The 23281-nt window shown below is 36.8% G+C and overlaps 1 long non-coding RNA gene across 1 annotated transcript in view; it reads left to right on the top strand.

Moving 5' to 3' along the window:
- The window catches only part of LINC02864 (long intergenic non-protein coding RNA 2864), a 110441-nt gene extending 87394 nt beyond the window's left edge, over positions 1 to 23047 (top strand). Inside the window, exons 4-6 of the long non-coding RNA NR_034133.1 lie at positions 15132 to 15281; positions 17441 to 17564; positions 21170 to 23047. This is a non-coding gene — a long non-coding RNA (long intergenic non-protein coding RNA 2864). The remainder of the gene's footprint in view (positions 1 to 15131; positions 15282 to 17440; positions 17565 to 21169) is intronic.
- The last annotated feature ends 234 nt before the right edge of the window (positions 23048 to 23281 follow it).

Here is a 23281-nt window from a genome sequence, read left to right as displayed (position 1 = left end):
TGAGGAGTCTCTATGCTAGAATGTCTGGTCCCCAAAGGGCAAGGTGCCAGCTGGGCTCAAATGCTGAGGTCAAGAAATATTGTTTTAATTAAATAAGAGGGATCACAGTGTCAATAATTGGCAGTATCAATTCGTGTGGGAAGAAGTGTTGATATTCAATAGCCTTTGAACTGCAGATGTTCTTGAAAGTGCAATCATTTAGTATATTACAAATATATCTATTTTAAGCAATAAAAACACTTTAAACAAAAGGAAACTGGATCCATAGTTGGATCTAGAGGCATAACCACATCAGCGTGGCATCATTTCCTTCACTTTCTGACCCTGCTTTCAATGACATGGTATCTCCATTCAGTTGAAGAAAAGAGCATGTCCTAATCTAGACACTTATTCTCCTATCTTAAAAACTTTAGTTAAAGTCCCAAGGTGGGTACTATAGATTAGCTTCTATCATGTATCTATCTCTGAACCAATTACTCTGACTAAACAAGTCACGCATGTTGTTTAAAATTGCCTAGGGATTTTCCTATAGCTACCTTAAAAAAGTCCCACAGAATGGATGTCTCAAAACAACACATATGTATTATCTCGCAGTTCTGGTTGTCAGAATTCCAAAATCAAGGTGTCAGCAGGGCTGCGTTCTCTCTGAAGACTCCCAAGCAGTGTCTGTTCTTAGCTTCCAGTGCTGCCAGGGATCCATAGCATTCCTTGGATTACTGAACACCGCTTCAATGTCTGTCTCCATCACCACGGGGTGCACATCTTGCGTACCTTTACATGATCTTCCCTCTGTCTCTGCATCTCTTATTCTTATAATGATACTAATTGTATTAGTTTAGGGTCCACCTTAATGACCTCATGTTAACTTGATTAATTCTGCATAGACGCTATTTCCACATCAAGTTGCATTTATAGATACTGGAAGAGAATCCACACATATTTTGAGAAGACAAAATTGAACCTATAATAGATGGATGCCAAGATGGAGAGCTTCACCAGAACCACACACCCACCCATTAGGGTAAAAGTGGATATCAAAATTAAAATGTTGATATTTTTTTCTAAAGAAGGAGTGGTATATGGGTAGATAAAGACTGCAGCTGCCATAATCCACATTGAACAGAATGCAGGAGCATAGGCTAAAGTAAGACTGAGTTCATATCTCATTTACACCTTTCATTTGCTTTTTGAAGTAGGAAACTTGCTTAAACTCTATTTCTGTTTCTTCAATTGTAAAATAAGGTATTACCTACACCATGTTTTCTGAGTGAAGAGTAAATGATTTTATCGTTATAAACATGTTAACACAATGGATTACACATATGGCTCGCTCTAAATGCCTGTTCTATTATCATCATTACCACATTTAAATACATTCCAACGTTTGTATCCCCTGCCTATACACATACACCACATACTTATTCTCACATAAACAATTTCTAAAATTCTTCCATGTATTTATAAGAAGAACTATTAATATTTTCACCTTACAGAATGGTAAAGACTTTATGAGAATAGAAAACAAACACACAAAAAGGAAAACTAGAACCTGGGTTAAGGGAAAGCCTTGTGATTTAAAGGGTATGAGACCTGGAGTCATCTGCTAAAGAATCAAATGCTTAACTTGAAGGAGAATGGGCAACGGCTTTTTTTTTCCTGAGAAAATGCATTTACATTACAGAGAGGAATAATATTCCCAGCCAAGGAGCCAGGGTTTATATCCCAAGGGAACTGTCAGTGATGACTAGGTTTCTCTCTCTGTCTTAGAAGGGGAGAGTTGGCAACTCTGTAAACTGTCCTATAGGGCCATAGTCATAATTGTGGCTGGCTTCCTTTCCCATTACTCTGTGCATGTAGGGTGACTTCTGGCTCTCATCACATTGCCCCTGGGGGATTGGGACAAGGGTAACTGATAGTAATGCAACTATTACTGTGGGGGTCTTCAAACTAGTTGGTGTCAGCTGTTTCACTGGAATTCAGGGTCTGAAAACAATTTATCAATTCTTAAACAAAAGCCTTATGATTCTCATGTCAGAGGTCCTATCCATGGGAATGATGGGGATGCAGATGGTCAGCATCCAGTGCTGTGTGGCTTATGGTTATAAGAAAGTGAGTCCAAGTGCAGCCTAATCAATGTTTAATTATAACTATAGTTCTCTCCAGAATTCTTGTTAACCTTGTGAGGATGGATTCATTGCTTTGAATCATATTTTTGTTTGAAATCTGCCTGCCTCTGTGCTTTCTATTTAGAACACAAAGACCTCCTGTTCCAACCATCCTCCTGGACCCCATACTGATGCACTCCATATTGGCCTTAGAGTAGGGAGATAAAATAGAGTTTTTAATGTCTTGACCGCAGACCCCAGGATACAACCAAGGAGAAGGGTCTTTCTATGTAAGATCTGGGTTATAAACGGTTAGAGAGAGCTCTGTGGTTGATAACTCCAACAGAGGCACAGGGAATAGGAACAGGGCAATTTCTCAAAGGAAAGGGAGATAGGCTGGGACTAGCAGAGAGTGCAGAGACAGTGTAATGGATGGAAATAAAATTGTGTGACTCCAGGTACCACATCCATTACAGTAGCCAATGGGCTTTGATATACTTTTTACAATGAAAAGGTGGTTCGTCTAGAGAATCACATCAGGCAATTATTAAATTAAGTTTTAAACTCTGAAAACATCTTCTTAAAATTATATGTCCACAGAAACTATCTTATAATTATAATTTGACTACAGAGTAAACTTTCCTAGACAGCTAGAAAGTTTTAATTTTTTGAACATTTAGTTTTAAGCTGATAATAGTTATTTCTCATTATTAATTATCAAGTTAGCATTATAATTTAATTTATCAGTTTTGTAAGTTGGGTTAAAGTGACTCCACAGTCATTGTGATGCAATATAGGCTATTTGACATAACGATTTTTTCCTCAGCTACAATTTGAGTTCCAAACACTTGGTGTTGATGAATTTTGTTAAATTCACCTAAATTTAAAAAAAAAAAAACAATTCTCTGGTTCTATTTGGGGGAGAGCTCTCTGACCTTGTTTATATTTGATAGCAGGTCATTTTTGCATGTGCCTCAGAGAGTATATTTGCAATTGCTACAACAGACACTAACTCAAAGATTATATAATAAACTGTGAGCTTTGAAATAGAAACCCTCTAGCTGCAACAACACCTAGAACAATGTAGGCTGAAAAGTTGTCAAATGAATGCAGCACGAATCCATGGAATAGCCTCTTGAATCCACATTTGCAAATAAAAGTATTTCTTTCTTTTCCTAGTCCATCTGGAAAACTTTTGTTTTTCTCCAGGATTTGGGGATGTAATCCTACACTATATCTTGAAACTGACTTAATACCATGCACGTGACAAAGATGTAAAGGCGTGTGTGTGTGTGTGTGTGTGTGTGTGTGTGTGTGCAGGTGCATATCTGACATCTCCAGTATGTCTACACTTGTTTTCATCCAACTGTCAACTTGACACCTATACTTAAGATGTTTGATGGGCATCTCACTATTAACTTGGCCAACACAGAAGTTTCTAATTTCCTACATCACCAACTTAATCTTCACAATGTTTCTGTAGATCAGTGAAGGGAACTTGCCTTCCTCCAAGTTGCTTAATAGTGACAAAAAAATTTAGGAGAAAATTCTTCATCCTCAGCACGTTATCCTGACTCTATCCGCAACCTGTATCTGGGATCTATTCACCATTCTCACCATTCTCCATTCTTTCTGAAAATTTCTAAGTTTAAACCACCATATTCTCATTAGACTCTCAAGAGTTTCCAGTGGTGTCTGCCTGTTTCCTGTTAGGTCTCCTTTAAAGCCATTATTTAACAGCAGATAATCGAAAAGTATAGATCATGTAATGTTCTACTCCTGTTTAAAACTCTGTGGTGACTTCCCATTACAGTTAGAATAAGGTTCAGACTTCTTAAAATGGTCCACAAATGTTTCTCTGACCTGTCCTTTGCCTTGTTGCAGACAACTGTGGCCCCTCTCCCGCCTCCTTCACCGCCCCACAGCTCTGCTGGCCTTCTTTTCTACCTTGAACATGCCAAGCTCTGTTACCATCTATGATTTTTTTCATATTCTACAACATCTACCGTCTTCATATTTGCCTTTATCTCTGTCTAGGATGCCCCTTCTAGATGTTCATGGCTCACTCCCTGCCATGTTGTCAGGTATTTGAGCTCTCTGTTCCCACTCAGAGTAGATGAGCAGAAGAGGAAATGAGGGCCTTCCCAGAGCAACTCCCCCAGGTAACTACATGATTCCGCATTAATCTATTTGTAACACATATCGCCTCCTGAAACGTTGTTATTTTTAATTTGTTTAGTCTTTTATTTCACAGTTCTTCCCCCTAAGATATAAGATTCATGAGGACAGAGAAATTTGTCTCTCATGTTCATCCCTGTATGTTCCACAACAAGATAGTCTGAAACATAATGGCTCCTACATGTTTGTTCAATGAGTTACATTTCATTCTTTTAACATGGCTTTTGTTCCCCAACCTATAAGTATTCTAATGGTATAAGCTCTGCTTACTCACCAGTTCTCCCACTTCATTCTTAACAGAGGGCCAGGTACTCAGAAACGGGGGGAGAGGAGGGAGCAGGTAGCTGCAGACCAGCAGTGCAAGGAGGACTTGCTAAAGAAGAATTTGTTTAGGAATGTAACAGTTAAAGGTCTTTGGATCTCTTAAACAGAGTTCTCCAAAAGCTCCATGTGGCCAAACGTTCATGCTAAAATTGCTGTATAGAGGCTATATATTAAATAAACAAAAATATGTAAACACATAATATTCCCATATTTAGTCAAGTACAATACACGTTAGGTCTTAGTACTACTACTTGAAAAGGTTGTCAATGTATTTCTCTGTTTTGATGTGAATGAGTACATATTTTAATGCAACTATTGTACAGGATGTGTACATATATAAATCTATAGATAGAATTATGTACTTTTGAGTACATAGTATATATATATACACACACACTATATATACACTATATATATATACTATATATACACTATAGTATATATATACACTATATATAGTGTATATGTAGTGTATACTATATATAGTGTATATATATACTATATATAGTGTGTGTATATATACACTATATATAGTTATATATATAACTATATATATAGTTTTTTATATATAGTATATATACACTATATATATAGTTTTTTCTCTATATATATAGAGAGAGATATATATATCTATATATATATAGTTTTTTGTTTGTTTGTTTGTTTGTTTGTTTTTTGTTTTTTGTTTTTTTCCTGAGGTGGATTCTTGCTCTGACATCCAGGCTGGAGTGCAGTGGTACGATCTTGGTTCACTGCAACCTCCACCTCCCGGGTTAAAGTGATTTTCCTGTCTCAGCCTCCCTAGTAACTGGGATTACAGGTGCCCATCATCACACCCCGCTAATTTTTTCTGTTTTTAGTAGAGACGGGCTTTCGCCATGTTGGCCCGGCTACTCTGAAACTCCTGACCTCAGTCAATCTACCTACCTCTGCCTCTCAAAGTGCTGGGATTACAAGCGTGAGCCACCACACCTGACCCACATATTTTTTTCTACTCACATTTTTCTCTTTCATAAAGCATTTTTATAGTGCATAGATGTGCAATGCTTCATTAAGTCCTGAGTAATTAAAAAAAATTAATATCTTGCTATAAATTCTGTTTTTTCAGCTAAATATCCAGCAAATTCTGTAACAAAATATGTAAACAAAATAATACTTAAAAATATGCATTGGGCAGGCACAGTGGCTCACACCTGAAATCCCAGCACTTTGGGAAGCCAATGTGGGCAGATCATTTGAGGTCAGGAGTTCGAGACCCCTATGGCCAATGTGGTGAAACCCATCTCTACCAAAAATACAAAAATTATCTGGGCGTGGTGGCAGGTACCTGTAATCCCAGCTACTCTGGAAGCTGAGGCAGGAGAATTGCTTGAACCTGGGAGGTGGAGGTTGCAGTGAGCTGAGGTCGCACCACTGCACTCCAGCCTAGGCAACAGAGTGAGACTACATCTCAAAAAATGTATCTATGCATTTAGCTTTGCACTCACTGGTGCTTGGCAGAAAAAGCTGGGTGCACCCATGCAGCTTGGCTTGGTTACCTTGGGCTCCTTGAGCCAAGCCGACCTGGGAACTCCTAAAGGGAGTGGCTTAGCAGACCACTCTTGGATGACTTCCAGCTGGTTCCCTCTCACCAAAATATACTAAAATTTTGTATATTCCTTCCATGTGGCTGACTATATCCTAAGAAAAGCATTTTAAATTATTTTATTATGTTTTCCCTCCATTGAAAACTTATTTCATATTTATTGACTTTTCTGAAGTATTAGGGACACTCAGATTCATATCTAAAGGTTATGAAGCTACTTGTTGAAGATGTGAAAGAGAAGTCAAAATCAGAAACAATGAACTGTAAACTCTGTAATGGTAACCTATTATTCATTGATTTGTTCAACTAAGATGAGAAGATGAGTGTTTTAGTATCATAATAATACACAATTTCTCTTCCTTAAACAATATTGAGTTAAAACTGGATGACTTGTCATCTTTGCACTTTTAGTGCAAATAATCACAATTAATTTGTTATTATAAACTTATCAGGATATTTTATTTAATTCCCTTGTTTTTCATGATGCCAATGAACTACAGCACAATACATTACAAAACAAAACAAAAATCACCAAGAGATTGTATTATAAATATCCCTTTAAGTATTAAATACTAGTAAAATCAACATTATCAGCTTTTATACTTCTACTTTGTTCATCAACCTTTTAGCAATGTCTGCAATGTAATCATACCTGATCATCAGATCATATGAAAAGTTTAAGGTCATTATTTTATTCATATACTTCCAAATACTTAATTCCACTTAATAAAGACAATTATTAATAAACTATATTTTGGTAGCGTTCTTTTTAACTTTGGTTTGCCTCTACTAAGATAATATTAGATTTTCAGAAAGTGTAACCCTGTAGTTCTAAACTGTCTAACATCTCTTGGTTTCTATTTTTATCTATTACCAGATGAACAGAGCCAGGCTGCCTGGATTCAATGTTATCTTCATTTCTTAGCTGTATCATCACGAGTTGTTTAATTCCTCAGCACTTAATTTTCTTGACCTGCAAAAATATGGATCATAATGATCATTAACTAATAAGTTTGCCATGAGGATTAACTGTATATTAAGGGCTGATAAAATTATATGTTACAAAGTAAGTGCTCAATGAATATTACTCATAACATTATGTAATTAAATTTTTCTGTTAACCTCAGGAGAAAATTCTTGGGAGAATGTGAAAAATGGATTTAAAAGTTAAGTCATTTAGGTTACAATATTGAAGCAATTGTGTGTATATAGCATATGCATTGTATATGCCAGGGTTATATTTTTTTGCATTGGCACATTTATTTTAATAATTCAACAGTATCGATACAACACTGATTACCATTAAAATACAAATGTATATTTTGCTTTGGAAATAGAGCCAATGCAGTTATTCCAATAATATGCTTCAATTATTAGTCACTTAAAAGATAAAATATTAACGGTGAGGAGGGTAAAGAAAAATCAGTATAATAAAATTGATTCCCAGTAACAAATCCCTTCCTTTTCACTCTGTAACCAGCCCAGTCTCTCTGGCTTCATATTGTTCTGTTTTGTTTTGCTTTGTTTGTTCAGTGCTGTTTATATTTAGATTTTTCACAAAATAAATTCTCTTTTTAAACAAACTTACAGTCCTATAATCCTTTTAGTTTTTAGTGTTTGTGCTTTGCTACTTTACTCACAACTACTTCTCTCTGAAAAAAAGAAAAAAAATCACAGCTTCATTTCCAAAGACATGCATTTTTTTAATTTAAGCAATCTAGAACCAATCATATTTTTAAACATGTCTGATACTGCCACTAAAATAAGATATTCATTTCAAATATAAAGATATGGCCTGAATTATTCAGAAATAATTTGGAATTGCCAAGTAATACGCTATGATATTGAAATAGTAATTCAACAATAGCTACATTGTTTCTTAAAATTGTAATTTAAATAATTATCTTTCACTTTAATCAGTGATTTAGACATTATTAAAAAAATGACAGTTTATCTGGAATATAATTTAGCTTAACTGCACAGTATTCTAAAACCAATTATCTCAACAAATAATTTGAAAATAAGTTAAAGTGATCTTATATGACCTGAACCCCATTCCAGGAGATTTTCTTACAAAAGACTTGGATCTTTCTGGCACAGTACCCTATTATCTTACATTTCCAAGCACAACATTATTTATATTTATTTAAGTTTTAAAATCCATGTTGAGATATCTAGGCTCATAAAAGTAGCTAAGCTGATTGATTTTCACAAAATATCTTTATGCACACAGCAAGCACTCTGAGTGAGATTATCCAAATAAACAAGATAACAATATGTAATTTAAGATGTGAACATTTAAAGTCTGAGCCCACACCATATGGATTTAAATTTCCTTCCATGTAGACCATTATGATTTGTGCTGTCTTTTTCTGCAGGCTCTATAAATGTACCACACCCCGAAGTACTTCCTTATATCTATGTCTTTATTTATTTTTTTTTGAGGCAGAGTCTTGCTCTCCCGCCCATTCTGGAGTGCAGTGGCATGATCTCGGCTCACTGCAAACTCCGCCTTCCAGGCTGAAGTGATTCAAGTATTAAAAAGAGTCAGTGTCCACAAGACAAAAACAGTTAGAAGAATGCCTAAGTCTTAGTATCATGTGGCAAACTGTTCACAAGGTTACACTGATATTAACTTGTAATATTAAACTGTTTTAATTAGTCTTTCACAACCAGTGGTTTGAATTTTAACCATGTCACTTAGTAGTGCTATGGCCGTATTCTCTGATGTATAAATGATGATAAGCATTCTTTTGTCTTTTGATAAAAAAGACTACACATGTAATTATGTATATACATATATAATTTTATCCTATATATTGATATGTATGTATATTAATATGTATGTACATTTATATGTACATAAGAGGGGTTTAATAAATATTAATCTTCTTTATAGAGAAGACTTTGTTATATATATACATGGAAGAACACAGACTCAATCTCTCACTTTGAACAAAAGTGAAACAATGCAAATGCTTGGATCTGCAGCTGACAATAATGGCCAACTTCTTCCATGCTTTTGCTCCAGAAGGCTCACACCAGCCCCAATTTCTGGAAACCTGGCTTCCCTGCCTCTCTTAGCTACAGTTTCTTAGTAACTCCCAGATTTGCTTAATTCCTAAGCATGTGCTTCGGTGTGTCTGTACAAGATTTTCCACAGTCTCTCTCACTCTGGGCTTTCCCAAAGTATTTTAGACTTGCACAGTTAAGAGGCTGCTGACCACAGCATGAGCATGTTTTCCTTGGATCACGCCTGTTTTTAAGCCCTCCATTCAGTCTATAGGCACTGTATATCCACCTGTACAAGTACAGGTGCAAAGCTTGTTGGCACAGATAGATTCCAGGTCCCTTCACAGGACACTCCAACACTGACCAGGAGAGATCCTTTCAAGATGAGAAATTCTGTGGCCTAGGGCAACTAACTTAATGGCCCTAAGCCTCAGTTGCCTTCTCCTGTAAAATGTTCTATATATTATAATGCTATTATAAAAGCAAAAAATATAATAACTTTGTCATCAGTAGTCATTTGATGTTGGTGATGGTACTATTACTATTAATACTATTACTCTTCCCATTACTATTAGTGCTTATTACAATCAGCTACACTGAAAGGGTTTCCTAGATTTCAGGCACATGAGACTGTAGGACTATAAGAAAATACATAAAATGTGTCTTTATAGCAGCATGATTTATAGTCCTTTGGGTATATACCCAGTAATGGGACGGCTGGGTCAAATGGTATTTCTAGTTCTAGATCCCTGAGGAATCGCCACACTGACTTGCACAATGGTTGAACTAGTTTACAGTCCCACCAACAGTGTAAAAGTGTTCCTATTTCTCCACATCCTCTCCAGCACCTGTTGTTTCCTGACTTTTTAATGATTGCCATTCTAACTGGTGTGAGATGGTATCTCATTGTGGTTTTGATTTGCATTTCTCTGATGGCCAGTGATGGTGAGCATTTTTTCATGTGTTTTTTGGCTGCATAAATGTCTTCTTTTGAGAAGTGTCTGTTCATGTCCTTCGCCCACTTTTTGATGGGGTTGTTTCTTTTTTTCTTGTAAATTTGTTTGAGTTCATTGTAGATTCTGGATATTAGCCCTTTGTCAGATGAGTAGGTTGCGAAAATTTTCTCCCATTTTGTAGGTTGCCTGTTCACTCTGATGGTAGTTTCTTTTGCTGTGCAGAAGCTCTTTAGTTTAATTAGATCCCATTTGTCAATTTTGGCTTTTATTGCCATTGCTTTTGGTGTTTTAGACATGAAGTCCTTGCCCATGCCTATGTCCTGAATGGTAATGCCTAGGTTTTCTTCTAGGGTTTTTATGGTTTTAGATCTAACGTTTAAGTCTTTAATCCATCTTGAATTGATTTTTGTATAAGGTGTAAGGAAGGGATCCAGTTTCAGCTTTCTACATATGGCTAGCCAGTTTTCCCAGCACCATAAAGACACATGCACACGCGTGTTTATTACGGCATTATTCACAATAGCAAAGACTTGGAACCAACCCAAATGTCCAACAATGATAGACTGGATTAAAAAAATGTGGCACATATACACCATGGAATACTATGCAGCCATAAAAAATGAGTTCATGTCCTTTGTAGGGACATGGATGAAATTGGAAATCATCATTCTCAGTAAACTATCACAAGAACAAAAAACCAAACACCGCATATTCTCACTCATAGGTGGGAATTGAACAATGAGAACACATGGACACAGGAAGGGGAACATCACACACCGGGGCCTGTTGTGGGATGGGGGAGGGGGGAGGGATGGCATTGGGAGATATACCTAATGCTAGATGACGAGTTGGTGGGTGCAGCGCACCAGCATGGCACACGTATACATATGTAACTAACCTGCACATTGTGCACATGTACCCTAAAACTTAAAGTATAATAATAATAATAAATAAATAAATAAAAATAAAAATAAAAAAAGAAAATACATAAAATAGATTATTAGAAGCACGAACAAATTGGGTTACTTTTGGAAGATAACTGAGCCATAAAATTATTCTGATGCAAAGACAGAAACATATGAGTCCATGGTCTTTTGCATTGACGAGGGATGGGTGCAGTTTTGCCTATGAGAGTAGGCGCTTGTGGCACTTGCACCTCTTAATCAATCATCAGCCTCCCCCATCTCAAGGAAGCTAGGACCTGCCTTTAGCAGAATGGAGTAAATCTCGATTAAGCTAACCATGGCAACTGAATTCACCTTGCCAGTAATAGTGTTCAAAACAGCCTTGTGACAGATTCTTGACCAACGATCCACCAAGGAAAATACTTGTGACCCTGGCAGTTTGGGGGTTTACTCTGGAGCATTTTCCTCATTTTAATATAATGAATACAAAGTGTCATTATTTTCTTTTCTGACTTTGGGAAGTTGTATGAGAGTATAGTGTTTGGAGCTGTTGCAGCCATTTTGTGACTAAGAAGGCTAGTATCCTATCCATGGGCAGCATACTGAGAAGGATGGAGTAGAAGGAGGAAAAGATCACTTTCTTGACAATGTCATTAAACAGCTGAGTTGCTGACCTTGGAACCGCTCCACCACCACTTTTCTTCTGTGTGGCGAGTCTTCATTATTTAAGCATCCTTACAGGGAAATCAGCCTATGGCACAGAATCAAAGTTGAATGAGAATCCCTTGATTAAACAGGCCATTAGAAAGAAAGAGACTCTGCTCCTGAAAATAATAAAGCATAGCCAGCTGTCTTTATTATTGGAGTTTTCCAAGTTGGTTTACCTACTTGCCTTCTTGGAATTTTACATTATTTTAAAAATTCATTTTATCCATAAATAAATATAAGTCATTTTTGATACTGATAGATGATTAGGGATAGTCGAGAAGAGGCTGTAGTCACAAAAAGAGTGAGAAGTAGCCACAGTTCTAAAATTTGTGAAATTACTCCCTGCTAACAATTCTATTCAATAACATGTTTCTTAGAGGTTTTCATCCACTGATTCTCAAATATTTTGGATCATTGCCTTAGGAAGGGGAAAATGTCTAATCAGGAACATACTCCTCCTTAACATTTTACACTTATCCTTTTTAAATTGTTTTGTTGCCTGAGGCTTTATAAGATCTATCTTAATTTTTTAAAATGATTATCTAGATAAAGATGATTTATGCAACAGTTGTTCTTGTTAGGTGAACTAAACCTTCCTCCTTGTGGCCTTGGGAAAGCCCAGAGTGACCGGTAAGCCCAGAGTGAGAGAGACAAGTTATTGAACAACTTACCAGTTCTGTGACTGGCCACAAGGTTTGTCCTAAGCATGTGCTTCGCTGTGTCTGTACAATGCTTAGGTTTTGCTTCAGCAGCTAAACAACCACTGGCCTCGAGATAAGCAAGATTAAAACAATTATGGCTCATCCACTACCAGATACTGGCCCCCACCCCAGTTCCACAAGCCATAAATACAGCTTTGATTGAACTAAGTAACTGATTTCAGTAACTTTCTCCTGATAAGAAACTACCGGCCTGGTCCTGGCGGGCTTACAGAGGTTGCACACTGAGTGCCTTTGTGTCCCTGCTTCACCCTTTGATGTACACGGCCTAATTGTAATGCACGTAAATGTTAACTCTGCACCCCAAAGTGAACATGAAACACATGTAACATGCATGTTTATTAAGTACACATGTGTTAGTACTCCCTCATACATATTCATAAGATCCTTCTATAACCTGTTGAATATGTATATCTCGCCAACCTGTTCAGCATAAATTCCTGCTTTACCCTCCCTCCCTCCAAATGCCTGTTTCCAGCTTCCGTGAAAGTCTTCGCTTCCCAGACTGTCAGAATGGCTGCCTTGCAGGCTATAACCCTAGATAAGAAATAAAGTCTCCTTTTCTAGCACAGTAGGGTGACTATAGTAAAAATTAATGTAATTGTACATTTTAAAATGACTAAAAGAAGGCTGGGCACAGTGGCTCATGCCTGTAACCCTAGCATTTGAAAGGCCAATGCAGGCGGATCACTTGAGGTCAGGAGTTCAAGACCAGACTGGTCAACATGGTGAAACCCCGTCTCCACTAAAAATATAAAATTTATCTAGGCGTAGTGGCACACACCTGTAATCCCAGCTACTCAGGAGGCAGAGGCAGGAGAATGGCTTGAACCATAGAGGCAGAGGTTGCAGTGAGCTGAGAACGTGCCACTGCACTCCAGCCTGGGTGACAGAGCAAGACTGCATCTCCAATTAAATAAATAAATAAATAAATAAAATGGCTAAAAGGGGATAATTGAATTGTTTGTAAAACAAAGGATAATTGCTTGAAGTGATGGATACTCCATTTACCCTGATGTGATTTTTATGCATTGCATGCCTGTATCAAAATATCTCATGTAACCCATAAATATATATATACCATGCATACACAAAAATTATAAATTAAAAAAGTCTCCTTTCTAAATGTATAAAGTGTGATTTATAATAATAAATACTAATTTATAATAATAATAAATTAATATTTTATTGTTAATTTATTACCAATATAATATTACTTTTAGACTTTTTTATTTTAAGCAACAGGAATACTCTGATTAAATGGAGGAGGGTTTAAAAGTTCACATGATCAATAAGAAACAAGTTCAATAGCTAATATTCAGTAAAAATTCAAAGTGCTTATGGATACCAGACCTTCACAAGATAGGAAGTGTTTCGTCAGGGCATTGTTGTTCATTACACTGCCACCATTGTCTCCACATACCATGGTCAGTCTTGGAGGATGCTTATATCAACCATGAGGCAATAGTTCCAGCAACAGTTTCTAAACGTTCCTTTTTCTTTGAATCAGTGACTTGATATTTATAAATCTACATGGAGTTGTAAATTAGGAGTGCATTAGGTAAACAGCTGATTTAGGCTTGGGGTAAACTCTAGGTGGGAAATACGGTGTCGTTGATGAGTCTGTAATTTTCTCTAATCAATACAGCACAGTGAGCCCTTGGAATCGCTTCTTTCCTGAAAGGCTTTGCACAAAATTGATGAAGGAGGATATTTGCTGATTAACATGTTTACTCCCAGAGACTAAGCTGAGGAAATGCTTTTATAGGCAAGGAAGCTTTGATTTGCAACTTAGGGATGCCAGTATGAGAATGGTTAGTATGGAAATACCTGGATAGTGATAATGTGATCACTTTTAGGAGAATAAGCACATATAATATTAAAATGCAAATAGAGGAACAGGAGAGAAAGGTTGATAGTGCCAATTGTGATAATACATAATAAATGTTAGCAATTTGGTTCTCACATTATTTCTATAAAAGCATTGAGCCAGGTCCATGGTTAAGAGGCAAAGTACAATTACTATCTAAAATTATAGTCAGTTATTTTCAGAAAAGAGAGAAATAAATTATCTCCTTTTGTATCAAAATTCTCACTTATGTTCAACCTCTTCACAAACTTAACATAGATTAATATCTTTTTCATGTTCTTTATTTTTGCTTCAGTATATTTCATTTATATATTGTTGGCTGCCCAATATATTTTTTTTTTTTCTGCTAGGTCCACACAGATAAACATTCTCCTTTTCTGTAATAGCATCTTCTAATTAGTCAAGGAACAATTTAAAATGTTATAATACAATAGAGATGCTAATAGAGAATCATGAAAAACATAGAGAATCATGAAAAACATAATGGATTAATGCAGAACAATTAAACTGGTCAAACTTCCAGGAATGTCAAAGAGTGATATAAATATTTAATATAAATATTGTCTTAAGCTTTCTGTGGCACTTTCAAAAGAGTATTTTCTAATTATAAAGTCTCTTTAATAAGTTCAATTGACCAAGTAACAGCTTTTGATCATCATTATTTAAAATGGAAGAATAAATTACTGAAAATTACATTCATACTTTAAACATTTGTCATTCTGCTGATTCACTTGCATTGTTTGAATGATCTGTTTTTCTTTTTTATTAGAAAATTCACAAGAAGAGAGGAAATACTGAGGAGAAAATGGCAGATTGTGTTTGCTGAATTTGATTGACGAAGAAGTCACCATGAAAATCACAGTGAACCATTTGGAAAGCAAACTGCCAAAAAATAATAGTTAGTCATGCTCTCAGGCTGGTAATTGAAAGTTTTGTTCAAATCGTACTTAATATTCAATAATTGTTTAACCATACCACTGCTTATCTTGGGAATGCTGATACTATGGAGACAATAAGATAAGGTGGCTGCTGAAAATCAGATTTAGACACTACTTTGATTATAATCATTTTTTTTGTATATCCCATGAAGGTATTATATGTTAGTGGTTGTTCTATGCTTAATATTTATATAGCAACAAAGAGTAAATAAACTGCAATTTATACATGTTATATTGTTGACCTATGCTAAAAGTTAATTACCATAATGAAATGGTTTGGCTGTGTCCCCACCCAAATCTCATCTTGAACCCATAATCCCCATGTGTCCTGCTGCTGGACCCAGTGGGAGGTAATTGAATCACAGGGGCAGTGTCTCCCACGCTGTTCTCATGATAGAGAGTTCTCATGAGATCTGATGGTTTTATAAGTGTCTGGCATTTCCCTGCTTGTACTCAATCTCTTGCCTGCCACCCTGAGAAAAGGTGCCTTCTGACATGATTGTAAGTTTCCTGAGGCCTCCCCAACCATGTGAAACTGTGAGTCAATTAAACCTCTTTTCTTTATAAGTTACCCACTATGAAGTATTTCTTCACAGTAGCGTGATAACTGAATAATACATGTAACAATTACATGAACAAATTATTACAAGTTTGAGGTACATCAGGTTTAAATTAAGGAAAAATGTTTAAAGAATTTTCCTCCTCAATGTTTCTTAGGGTCGAAGAGGCGTTTATGTTTGTTTATGAATAGGTCCTCGAAGGTAAAACATAGGCTTTAACATTCTGAGGCCAAGGATGGAGCTGTGTCTGATTTATAAAGTTTCAGACGCAGTAGAACAATTGACATGAGAAACTAGTCTTCCTCTGAGGCTGGTGAAGCTGCAGATCAGCACACACTCAGACTTGGTACAGAGAAACAGACCATTCTCCCATTAGCCTTTGGTATACTTCAGTCACCTGGGGTAGAGTGATTTCTGTGATTTCTAAACCTTCTGTCCTACTCATCTTACAGGCCATGTCCATCCTCAGAACTCATGCTTTCCTTTATTGTAGCTTCTGTTCTACGACTCCTCTAATACATTTTTCTTAGGAGCTTCATTGAGATATAATTTATATCCCATAACATTCACATTTGAAATGTGGCATCCAGTGTTTTTTATTGTAGTCACAGACTTATGCAACTATCACATCGAATTTTAGAATATTTTCACCGCCCTCTGAAAAAAACTAAATAACAATTAGCAGTAGCTCCCCGTTTCTTTTCTCTGCCAAACCACTAGCAACTATTAATCTATTTTCTGTCTTTAGCCATTTGGCATTCCGAACATTTAATACAAATACGATCATTTAATATGTGGTCATTTGTTAGTTTGTTTCTTTTTAAAATATGGGCTTTTTGACTGGCTTCTTTCACTTTGCATAATGCTTTCAAGGTTCATCCAGATTTTAGCAGGTACACATACTTCATTCCTTTTTTATGCCTGAATGATATTTTGTGGTATTTTTTGCTGTTATGAATAATTCACTGTTTGGCCACCGTAAATATGCATGTATAAGTCTTTTGGGGACATGATTTTATTTTGGAGGATAGATACTTAGATGTTGAAATATTGGTTCATATAATAGATCTGTGTTTAAATATTTGAGGAACACTTCTTGATGGTATTGTGACACAAATCTATTATGCATATATGTATGTATTTACATTGAGTATGCTTTTGGTGTAATATCTATCAAAGGTTATGAAGATTTACTGTTATATTTTCTTCTAAGAATTTACAATTTTACCTCTTACATTTGTCTCTGTGATTCATTTTTCAGTTAATTCTTGTGCATGGTGTGAGGTAGGAGGACAATTTCATTCTTTTTTGTGCGACAATTCAGTTTTCCCAGAACTATTTATTGACAAGTCAATAAAGTGAATTGTAGCATAGAAAATATTGCATTGAATTATCTTGGCACCTGTATCAAAAGTCAGTTGATCATAAATGTAAGAATTTATTTCTGGAACCTTATTTCTATTCCATTAGTTGATATATCTCTCCTTGTGTTAGTACCATAATGTCTTAATTGCTATAGCTTTGTATTAAGTTTTGAAACAGGGTAGTATATGTCCTTCACCTTTGTTCTTTCTTGCCAGGTTGTTTTGGCTGTTGTGGGTTTCTTGCATTTCCAGATGATTGCAAAGAGCTGTTTCTCAATTTCTGCAACAAGTGCCAGCTGAAATTTTGGTACCAGTTTCATTAAATATGTAGAACAATTTGGTAAGCATTGTCATCTTTACCCCATGAACACCATATTTTGTAGTCTCTAATATCTCTTAAAACAAACGGCCCCCAATCCATGCCCCCAAAATTGTCAAATACAGTCCAGCATCTTCATTTATACAAAAGAAAAGAAATTATTTTGCATCATGCTAAGAACCGGACCCAGCTCTGAATCAAACTGTGATATGCAATGTAGGCCTGAATAAAATACTCAGCTGCTCAGGTCAGACCATCCCCAATGAGGTCAACAGTGACTTCACAGTTTTCCTGATTTCACAAGCAAAATGGTTGTGTATGTGACTTCCATTAATTTAGTACAAGAGTGCATTCAACTCGTTTTCTCAGAAAAAAAAAAAAAAGCACCAAAAAAAGGTTTTTTCCCCAAAATAATATGGAATCATCTACTTCTAGTAAGACACCATGCCTGACAATTTTTCCAATTTCTACACTTTCAAGATGCAAAAGTTTGGTTTTATTTTAACATATACAAAAACCGTAAATGCTTTTAAAATATAGAAAATATTTTTGCTATGTAAGGACCAATAATTACTACATGCCAATATAGTACCACAACCATTAAATACACATGAGAAAATTCATGATATAATCATTCCACACTCCTTTCCTCTATGTACCACCATAGGTAGAAGTACATTTCTTTCAACTAGCTTGATACTTTTATGTAAAGTAAACCATAAAGGAAATTGAAACCAAAAGTAGATAATGGTGATGCGTCAGTTTTATTTGGTTTTAGATTTTTTTCCTCGTGGATGACACAAGGCAGAAAAACTCACAACAAATAGCATACATTTTGCTTGAGGACAAAACGGGAATTTTGCTGGGAAATAAATCTGAGTGTCTTCCAATATGACAACAGCTGCTTCTTGAATGCCTAAACTTTCTACCATAGAGGAATGCCGAATAGCCTTGAGCCTGGGGAATTATCACAGCCGATGTAAAATTCTTCAGCGATGTTCTCATGAAGCATCGAATGTAGATCCACATGGTTTTTCCGGTGAACCTGCCAGGGTGCATCAGGAACAAAGAGAATCCTATAGATCCTAAACAAATTATCATGCTGTATGGAATTATTTGATAGAACCCAATTAAATTCTATTAATTTTCTGCCAAATATAATAGTTTTAGTTTTAGAATAGTTCATATGAAGCCATTTTGAGACAATAATTAAATACCAAGCCTAATTGTCTATTAAGGCCATATTTTTCTTGTGATAATAAAAGCAAATTATCAGCGTTTAGATCTATCAAGGGATTCTTCTGAATTTTCTAGTGTTATTCAAAGGCAATTTTAATGAGTTCCTTAAGGACAAATAGTTGCTTCATAGCAAACCCTGAATAAATATATGGTGAATGACTTATGAGCAAACAAATAAATGCACATCAATAGAGTGAAATATTTATTGAGGTTCACATATCACCTCTCCCACCCACAGAGTCAGGTGTCAATCAACGAAAGATTTGTGGTCTTCAATATTTTTTCAGTCTAGTCCTAGTTTATATAAACTATAATGTTCTTCTCTTTTAAAGCTTCCGTCTGTTTTGCATTTAAGAAATAATCTTAAAAAGAAAGAAAGAATAATTTTCCATAGATTTTTGCAAATAGAGATTAGGGGGCTGGGGCTTGGGAGTTACGCAGATGGGCTTTGAACCCTGATCATAACCACGTAACAGCTGTCGGTCTTTGGGCAAGTTAATCAACTTCACCAGGCCTTAGGGTTCTCATCTTTAAAATGAAAATTGCATTACTACTCAAAGTTGTTCCTAAAATTAAATGAGATAATGCAGGTAAATCATTTAGCATTGTGGCTGGCACAAATTAAATAATCAGTCAAATTTAGATATTAATTTTAGCATTATTCTTCATTTTTCTTGCAGTGCTTTACCTTGGTAAAAGTTTTCACTTCATGACAAATGGATTTCGTCACATAGGAAAAATTTAAATTTTACTGATTGTGATCCCTGGTTTAACGTACCATAGAAACAAAATAACTTTTTAGGCTATCATTATCATATATTGAAAATACATTTTTCAGCCAGGCGTGGTGGCTCATGCCTGTAATCCCAGCACTTTGGGAGGCCGAGGCAGGCGGATTACTTGAGGTCAGGAGTTCGAGACCAGCCTGGCCAATATGGTGAAACCCCATCTCTACTAAACATACAAAAATTAGCCGGCGTGGTGGCGCATGCCTGTAATCCCAGCTGCTTGGGAGGCTTCAGGCACGGAGATCACTTCAACCTGGGAGGCAGAGGTTGCAGTGAGCCGAAATCGCAGCTCTGTACTCCAGCCTGGACAACAGAGTGGAGACTCCATCTCAAAAACATAAAAAAGAAAATGTATTTTTCTTTCCTCTTGCTTCAGGCTATTTTCAAATTATTGCAAATTTAATTTGTTACTACTGCCTATTTATCCATCTGGCATCTTATTTCACTCATTCTCACTGTGTTGAAATGAATGGTCATATTAAGCTATGCTCTCAGGATTACACATGTGAATGTCTGACTTGCATTAGTAAAACTAATGATTCTAATTCCATATTGCTTTGATTATAAACTAAACAAAAACTCTGACATTATTACATTAGGAAAGCTGTTTTGCTAGAAACAAGAGCAATATTATATGAGAATTGAATTAATAAGTACAAATGTTTTAATGGCCATTACAACAACACAAAGAAAAACAAATGTAAATATTTTAATAATACAAACTATAATTAATGCTGTGTATTTTAACTCTTTATGTCTGATAGAGTAACAAATTCTTGAGCATGTTGGCCTATGTGCAAAGACCCATTGATCTGGTTTTTCCCCACGTATTTGAAAAATGATGCATTTTGCCAAAGTATAAAATTATAAGATACAGAACTAAATTCTGGTTACCCAAAGGCTAGAGATTTGATATGCTATGAATAATCATGTTGCTGTTCACTATTATAAGGATTTATATCTTGCAAAGTATCTTATCAATTACCTCATTTCTTCTTTACAAGTTTCTAGGTGTGCAGGAATGCTCATCCTATCATCTTTTTCTGAGGAGTGAAACAAGCTCCTTAGGCCCTGAACTAATAGAAATCACAAGCTACAATGAAAGGAATGTGACTAGAACCCACCTGCATGACTCTTTTCATTAGATCATACTCACTCTTTGATTAAAAAGAATGCACAACTAAATATATTTGTTGAAAACAATTTTTATTGAAGAACATACCAGGAATATTACTCATTATTGCCAGGTACAACAGCATATTTAGCCTGTGTTTAATGTATATATCATGTGATTAGAACATGGGAACAACAGTAAGACTGAAAAGGAACTCTGTGATGCTTACCTGCTGAGAACAAAAGGAATGAGAATCACTGCTCAACTGATAACATCAAAACTTTATAGACTCACCCATCTTTTCATTACAGTGGCCTAATTTCCAACTTTATACTAAGTGTCAAGCCTCTGTCTCAGTCCTAATAATTCCTCTTAAGTCCATATCTATATATACAGGTTCAAATCAAATTTCTTTCTGTGTATGTCACAGGAACCCAGTCTCAACATTTCCATACCTTAGATCATGTTTGTACTTTCTCTTTCAGAGCCTGAGTGAGTTCTGTGGAGCCCATACTACCTGCGATTCAAGCCAGCAACCTTGGAATCTCCCTGAACAATTTCTATGGTGTCCAATCACATTTGCAATCACTCCCCACACTCAGTAGGTTCTGCCCCCACATCATTTCTTTTCTCTATCCTCTTTCCCAGCTTTATAATATGACTTAGTTCAAGCCCTAATCACTGGATTATTCAAAGTCCCTTAACAGGTTAATTCCTACTGTGATCAACACTTTAAAGGAAGGCAATAGGGCCAGGCATGGTGGCTCACGGCTGTAATCCCAGCACTTTGGGAGGCTGAGGCGAGTGGATCACAAGGTCGGGAGTTTGAGACCAGCCTGACTAACACAGTGAAACCCCGACTCTACTAAAAATACAAAAAATTAGCCAGGTGTGGTCGTGGGTACCTGTAGTCCCAGCTACTAGGGAGGCTGAGGCAGGAGAATGGCGTGAACCCGAGAGGCGGAGCTTGCAGTGAGCCAAGATTACGCCACTGCACTCCAGCCTGGGTGACGGAGCGAGACTCCATCTCAAAAAAAATAAAAAATAAATAAAACAGAAAGGCAATGGCTATCCCAAATTGCTGAAGCCTTTGCTAAAAGCACAGACAGAAAACAACAATATGGTGATGTTTGTGTTAAACAAATGTTATTGATTCTAGGACACAGGTCAGATGGCAAATAGTCAAACTCAAATGTTGATCCCAGGGGTGGCTGTATCATCACTAAGGCCAAATCACAACTTTGACTGGTCTCATGGGAACACAGATCTTGGGTTTGGAAAGAGCACAGGCCTGGCCATGGGAATGGACACAGGGTAATTTTAAGATGACTAGAGGTTCCTCAAACCCTAAAAGTACCACTGAACCTTGTTTAAAGCTAAAATGGCTCCTAAATGATAGACACGTTTCTCAGTTATCTCTGCAAACTGAAGATCCTATCAGCCTGTTCAGGGTCTCACAGGCCTCTGGGTTTGTACATGATGTCCCTACAGTGGCGATGGGGACTGATGAGAGCCACCGTTCCCATTGGAGGAGGGCAAGCTGCCACTGAGTGTCAGCTGCTGGAGTAAACATCCAATCACATGTGTACCTGTATCCTATGGATATTGGCTTCCCCTCATACAACTTGTTGTTCCTTTGTTTTCCATTCCTGACTATATTTGAATCTTTCTTGGATTTCCAGGAAACATCTGACTGCTTTCCTATGCCACTTCATACCCAAGAGAAGCTCAGGGAGATCCTTTAAGGTCCTTTATGCCCATTATGATAGTACATGAATAGGTAAATGTACCACTGCTCCCTGTACTTCTTGGATAATGCACAAATAGTAAGACAGTCTCGCAACCAGCAGCCTAGACAGCCCAAATATGTGAAACCAAAACAGCTTGATCTTCCAGACCTGTTCTGACTCCTTGAGTCTTAAATCTCCAAGCCTCTTGAATGTTTCACCCACAGCCTTCCCTTTGGGATCTGGCATGGGACAGGAAGGGCAGAGAAGGGCCTGGGGCTTTTCCTCAGGGATCCACCACAGTCTAGGCCAGTGGGTGGCAAACTTTTTCTGCAAAGGATCAGCTGGGAGATAGTTTCAACTTTGTAGTCTCGTCGCAGCTACTCTACTCGACTCTGCCACTGGAGTGTGAATGCAGTCATGAATAAAAGAATGAAAGTTTTCCAGTGAAACTTTAGTCACAAAAACAGTCTGCAGGCTGTGTCTGGCCCGTGGGCTTTGGTTTGCTGGCCTGCGGGCTCCTAGAAGGCTCTGACTTTATCCCTCTATGAGGGAAAGCAGGTTTTGGGGTATTCTCCCAAATCTTTATACCTTATGTCTGTGTCTCTTTTTAAATTAAAAGTAAAATTTAGGCCAGATGCCATGACTCACACCTGTAATCCCAACATTTTGGGAGGCTGAGGAGGGAGGACCACTTGGTTCCAGGAGTTCACAACCAGACTGGACAACATAGCAAGACCTAGTCTCTACAAAAGAAAAAAAAATGAAAATTTAGCAGAGCATGGTGGTGCTTCCCTGTAGTCCCAACTACTAGGGAGGCTGAGGTGGGAGGATTGCTGAAGCCCAGGAAGTCGAGGCTGCAGTGAGTCA

The sequence above is a fragment of the Homo sapiens genome, chromosome 18, assembly GCF_000001405.40.
Source record: "Homo sapiens chromosome 18, GRCh38.p14 Primary Assembly".
Lineage (NCBI taxonomy): Eukaryota > Metazoa > Chordata > Mammalia > Primates > Hominidae > Homo > Homo sapiens.
The sequence above is the reverse complement of the archived record's forward strand: the minus strand, read 5'-3'. Positions and strand labels throughout refer to the sequence as shown.